The sequence below is a fragment of the Homo sapiens genome, chromosome 2 (genome assembly GCF_000001405.40).
Source record: "Homo sapiens chromosome 2, GRCh38.p14 Primary Assembly".
Lineage (NCBI taxonomy): Eukaryota > Metazoa > Chordata > Mammalia > Primates > Hominidae > Homo > Homo sapiens.
In genome coordinates this window covers 154,873,962-154,880,570 of record NC_000002.12, presented here as the reverse complement: position 1 = coordinate 154,880,570, position 6,609 = coordinate 154,873,962, and the positions used below count along the sequence as shown (strand labels likewise).

At 33.8% G+C, this 6,609-nt stretch overlaps 1 annotated feature.

Annotated features, from left to right (window-relative positions):
- Window positions 5,985–6,609: an enhancer, noted in NCBI's record as "NANOG hESC enhancer chr2:155730474-155731098 (GRCh37/hg19 assembly coordinates)". NCBI's record gives its function as "activates a minimal SCP1, AML or CMV promoter by ChIP-STARR-seq in primed H9 embryonic stem cells {active_cell/tissue: H9 hESC(primed)}" and the evidence as "EXISTENCE:reporter gene assay evidence [ECO:0000049][PMID:30033119]".

Here is a 6,609-nt window from a genome sequence, read left to right as displayed (position 1 = left end):
ATAAAACTGGAAGCCATTAAGTGATATAAGCCAAGCACAGGAAGACAAATATCACATATGCTTGTTCATATGTGGGTTTCTTCAAAACACAAAAATAAAAACAAAACAAAAACTTTCTGCTTATTCAAATCTGAAAGAGTTTGGGCAACTAAAACCTGATTAACTAGAGAAGACTCATACTTTCAGAAGTTTATTAGTATTTGCCTTCCATCCTACAAAGACGATGGCAGTACATTTCAATTCTATAATTTCTTCTCCTCTATCTTGCTACTTCACTTTATCATAAATCTCCTCTATGTATACTGTCAAATCAAAACATCATCTTTTGAAGCAAAGGATTCATCTGTTTCATGACTCAAGCTGTGAAGTCCAAAACATACAGGCAAACATTTGATCTTCCCAAGGCTTTAATTCTCAAAAGCAATTGCAGCCTCTAGCCTCTATTAGTAAACCATTTCACTTCTTAATATAACTTCTGTTTAAGTGTTTTCCATTTCAGTTGAGTAACAAACCAGTTTCCCTTCCACATTATTGGAATTTTACTTATATCTCTGAACTCATTCTTGTTGTCATCTTCAATTTTATGCTTTTACTCTTCTTGCTGCATTGCCTAAAACATAATTCCCTAGAGAAATGGATACAATTGTACCAGCAAATTAATAACACTATTTTTGCTTCATCAAAAAGCTTTAGGAATGCTAATGTCAAAATGTCTAAGTAGTTTATTCTGCATCAGCTTTATCTAAAGATCATACTGATTTTGAGATACACTATGAAAAACATTATCTTATATAAGAATTTTTGAATTGAACATTGCTAATTAAAATTTCAACATCCAATTTTAACACTGATCTCAGAATGTGAAATATTTTTTAAACAATTACTATATGCCCAACATGTATTATGCATATGCACACAAAATGTAATCTTTTTTTTACCCTCCCAAAATGAAGGCCACCATCAAAGACTGTTCTATTTTTTTAATTAAACCTAGTGAAATAAACATTTCTTTTATTTGTACTTTTAAGATTTAAGTGTACTTTGACTTTACCACAAGGACATATATTTATATAATAATTCAGTTTTAAACATGCTTACTGATTGAAAACAATTTTTGAATCCAGTAATTGAATGAATTTGTATGCATAGGCTTATATTCACACTGGAGTTACTTCTGTAAAAAAAAGATTTTAAGGAGAAATAAAAAGCCTAAGTTACTAAAGGAAAAAATTGTTGATAAATCATTCCCCTTTAAAAAGACACTATATGATCTAAATCCATAGAAAACACCCAAAACAATCAAAACATTGGATGTAAATCACACTGTGCTTTTGGAAACAGGTTAATATTTAGTCCATGAACATGTTCAGAAATTGCCATCTTGTTATATTTGTTATGTTTATGGGAAATGCAATATCACAACATTTCCTGATGAATTTTATAAGTTGTTATCTAAATAAGTATGTTGAAATTTTCAAAATATAGTTTGTGAGGTTTTATTGTGGTGATAGCCAGGGTGGGTGACTGTTAGGTTTTATGTACCATAAAGACACTAGAGGATAATGCTACATAAGGCTGGCTATTTCAGTAACCAGTTTCTGACAGAATCTGAAGACATCTATGGTTTCCATCAAGGTGTCCTTAGTGAAAAATGCATGTGAAAAATAAATTTGAAAAAAAATTCTCTTTTACACATTATGCATGCAAGATAAATCCACATTGTTATCTACAGTCTAGATCCTTTATTTTCATTTATTGCAACATTTAATTTTATGAATTTATCATGATTTATTTTTCCTTTCTACTGTTAAAAGTCAGATGGATCTTTACATTATGTGCAATGCTATTGTGAATACTCTTTTACATGTATATTGGTATAAATGTGACTGAGCTTCTCTAGTGTACAATCTCAATATCCATGGGGTATTAGTTTCAGAGCCCCTGCAGATAAAATCTGCAGATGCTCAGGTCCCTTAGATAAAATGAAATGGTATTTGCATATAACTGATGCAAATCCCTCCATATAGTTTAAATTATCTCTAGATTACTTATACTACCTAATACAATGCAAATAGTCAATATACTGTAGTGGTTTTATTATTTTTAAACTTTTATTGCTTTCCTGTTAGTTTTTTCATATTTAAAAAATCAATGTTCCTTATTTCACTTTATCTGTAAAGTGAGCCCAAATTTCTCAGCCAAATTAAAACAAAATGTAATACCTTATATGTCATAAATTTCTGTTTAATTTAGATTTGGGCATACTCTTATTAAGAGCATTTCTAAATTATATTAAAAACAACTTTCTTTAAATTTTACAATTTTATTATAATTTAAAAGCTATCTCAGAATCCTTTGTGGATGAGGATCTAGAAAGCAGAGAAAGAAGTAAAATAAATAATGAATAAATATACAAGTAAATAGACTAGGTACATATTTGTAATTGATATTGGAAAAGGAAAATAGGACAAATAGAAAATTCTCTCACCTGCTTACCACTACACAGATTTTTCATAAAGGTCTCACTTCACATCATGGGTAAGATCTGACTCATAGGTTTGTATCTTTGCTTTGAGTAATTTTAGAAATTTTGAAACTTATATAGGACTAAATAAAATGTAATTGATAAGTTATAGGAGGTTTGTGTGGAGTCCTCCATATTTGATATTTTGTAAGACGGAGAAAGTAGCAGACGACATATTCTGGCAATTGCCTGTTCACCTAGAATCTTGGGAATTTATCTATATGTTCAGATTGTTAAACTCTATTTAAAATTATCAGTCTCCAGGCCAGAGAGAAAAAATTTCTCATATGATTCCCACTTCCTGGGATTAATGCCATTATATAATCCTCTCCTCTTGAGTGTGAGCAAGACCTATGGCTTGCTTAAGTGAAATGAATGTGCCAAAGGCAATGGGATTTAGATTACTTGTATGTGATACATAAAAGTATAGCAACAGTCCTACTGGGGTCCCTCTCTCTATCCCTTGCTAGCTTTGAAGAAGCACATTGCCATCAATCCTACAGCTATAAGAAAAGAAATTTTTCTTACTTATCCTGATTACATTACTTCTGAGTAGTAGGATTATTATAGTGCATCACTTAATTATTATTCAAGGATAAGTAGGCTCATATATTTCTCACACAAAGTTGGGAGACCAAAGGAGTCACTTTAATTAGACTTTATCAGGAAAATAGCACTCAGCAACTATATTGCATATTTTATGTTAGGAACTACCATTGTGTTGGATGTGAAAGGAATGCAGATTAAGTAAGAGTTCACTGGATTCCTATCTAAAATTTTCTGGGGGATGGTTGTAACGGTAATTACATACTCATTTTCAGCTGAGAAATTTGTTTCCATGTGCCGTAGTTAAAGAGGAGAACCTGATGTAATTCAGTAGGAAATATTAATATATTCTTACTAGCATGGGAGTTCTCATTGGAAGATGGCTAAGAAAAACAAAAAGCTTTCTATGGTTTGGCGATTAAGGTGTCATCTGCTTATGGAAAATAATTATTGACAAACTGTCAATCTGCAGCATGAAGGAAACTGTTTGAAACATCCCAATTGTTTTACATGGAGGCCTGGTGCTAACTAGTGGCACTGAGTTTTCTCCATTACAATTAGTTCCCTCCTCAAGACCCAGCTGAAATTTTCCATGACCTAAGTGGCTCATTCATTAATAAACACAAAAGTAGTTCTCTTGATGTGCTAAAAATTATCTGAGTATTTTATCTGTTTTCCATATTATACTAATCACACATTTATTTTGAAATCATTTATACATGTGCATGTAAGCATCTAAAATAATAAATGTAGTGTCTCTCCTAACAAAGATAGCATAATTTTCACATTTCAAATTCTCTGAGAATGTGTACAATTATACGTACACCAAAATGTATTAGGTCATTTGTTACTGTAAAACTATAGTTATTTTTATGCATTGAATAGGCATGGATTCTAACACTAATTAAAGCAAGTACTTGGTTTAGTGATCTGGCAATTTATATATTTTTTCACAAAACTGGTTTGAGGTGGAGTTTGGCTGACTTGTTTTTCTTCTTGTCAGACTTCTCAGTACTGCATCCCTTTTGATTTTTGCCCAGTCAGCTGCTAGTAATCATTCTGGGTACTCAGATAAGTCCAGGAATGAATTTCTTCCAAGTGAGCACTCTCTTGAGAAGTTGTTCTGAGAGATATTTGAAAATAAACCTGTGTTAGTAAGCTCAAAAACATCTGCCATATTTGTGTAATTTTCCATTTGTTATATTGTAAGACTAAATGGAAGCTGGGATATGTTTAACTCAACCAACCTCTTCAGAGGATATATTGCATCTGCGTCCTTCAAGCCAGATATTGATTAGGGTAGTCAATTTCTGTTGTTATTTCAAAATGACCTTTGATTTTAGGGACACCAACATAAATGCCAGTTATTGGCTGTGCTTTCATTTCTCTTTTTCTAGATTTGGGAATTAGCTGTAAATTAAAATTGTAAAGCAGCAACTCTGATTTGTAGTTCATCAAAGTTCATACAAGTTCCGCAAATGTAAATGCAGATGGCTTATGTATGAATATCAGTCCACGTGTTGTCTATATTGATCAGTCACTATTCAGAACTCCTCTGTTAAAGGGGAGGTTTAATGTATGAACATTTATTGCCTAGAGTGATATATCCTAACAACCAATTATTTATTTTAATGCAAATAATTACTGAAAAAATGCCCTTTGTTGGATATATTTTAAATTCTAGTGATTTAACAAATGACTCTTATTACATTTCAAATAATGGACCATCCATAATATTACTTGAGATGGCTCTAGACTGTGTACCACCACTGGGCATTTATTTTCTTTTTAAAAATTTCATCTAGGAATTATTCATCTGAAACATATCTAATACAAAATCACCTCTAGGTTAGCAAGCATCTGCATATCAATATTGTTATATTTCTCATACTTGCTTTTTCAGTTTGGATTTTACTGCCTTTATTTAAACAAACTTCATACTCTTAAATGCAACAAGAGGAAACAAAGAGAGAAAACAAACTTTTTTTTGTTTTGTTTTGATGGAGTTTTGCTCTTGTTGCCCAGGCTGGAGTGCAATGCCCAGGCTGGAGTGCAATTTCCACCCCCAGGTTCAAGAGATTCTCTTGCCTCAGCCTCCTGAGTAGCTGGGATTACAGGCATGCGCCAATAAGTCTGGCTAATTTTTGTATGTTTAGTAGAGACGGGGTTTTACCACATTAGACAGGCTGGTCTCGAACTCCTGACCTCAGGTGATCCATCCACTCCAGCCTCCCAAAGTGTTAGGATTACAGGAGTGAGCTACCGTGCCCGCGCCAAGAAAATAAACTTTCAAAACAGCTTCCTTTCGGGAATGGTTCAGATGGAGTGCTTAATTGCAATGGTTGAGGAAAGAGACATTGTTGTGAAAGTCTAATGAGAACTAAAAAGTACTAAAATGTTTGGTTGACCTTTGGGCAATTGTTGGCTTTCTCCTTTTCAGATAAGGGGAACCACAAACATGATCCCCACGCTTTTCTAAATCTCATAGGACAAGAGTGAAATATTACATTTGGTAACAGCATCTATATTATCTTTTGGATTTAAAATTATTTTTGCTTTTTTCCTTACCTTCATTGTGTATTTGATATTATTCATCTTTTCATGTAACATTCTTAAGCTTCTAAAATTATTTTTCTGAAAAATGTGAACTATAAAGTTTAATGAAAAATACATTGGTTCCAATGAAATAAAAAATTATAGAGTTCATTTATCTTTAATATACGTTGGTGGAGTAAATTTTCTAAAATGCGTATCTGGTCCTACCATCCCTTTAACATCTTAAAAAGTTGCTTTGAACATAAAAATCCAACTATTTCCTGTAGGTTATAGTACACATTGTCAATGTCCCTACTTGTTTCTCTATGTATGTCCCATATTGACCCACTTCTCACACCCCATGTTCTAGTCTTCCTAAACTTTTATTTGCAAAACATAATATTTTCATGAGCGTCCCTGTGAAGAGACCACCAAACAGGCTTTGTGTGAGCAATAAAAGCTTTTAATCACCTGGGTGCAGGCGGGCTGAGTCTGAAAAGAGAGTCCGGGAAGGGAGATAAGGGTGGGGCCGTTTTATAGGATTTGGGTAAATAAAGGAAAATTACAGTCGAAGGGGAGTTGTTCTCTGGCGGGCAGAGTGGGGGGTCACAAGGTGCTCAGTGGGGGAGCTTTTGAGACAGGATGAGCCAGGAGAAGGAATTTCACAAGACAATGTCATCAGTTAAGGCAAGAACAGGCCATTTTCACTTTTTTTGTGGTGGAATGTCATCAGTTAAGGTGGGGCAGGGCATATTCACTTCTTTTGTGGTTCTTCAGTTACTTCAGGCCATCTGGGCGTATATGTGCAAGTCACAGGGGATGCGATGGCTTGGCTTGGGCTCAGAGGCCTGACATTCCTGCCTCCTTATAGTAATAAGAAAAATAAAACAAAATAGTGTTGAAGTGTTGGGGCGGCGAAAATTTTTGGGGGGTATAGAGAGAGAGAATGGGCGATGTTTCTCAGGGCTGCTTCAAGCGGGATTAGGCGTGGCATGGGAACCTAG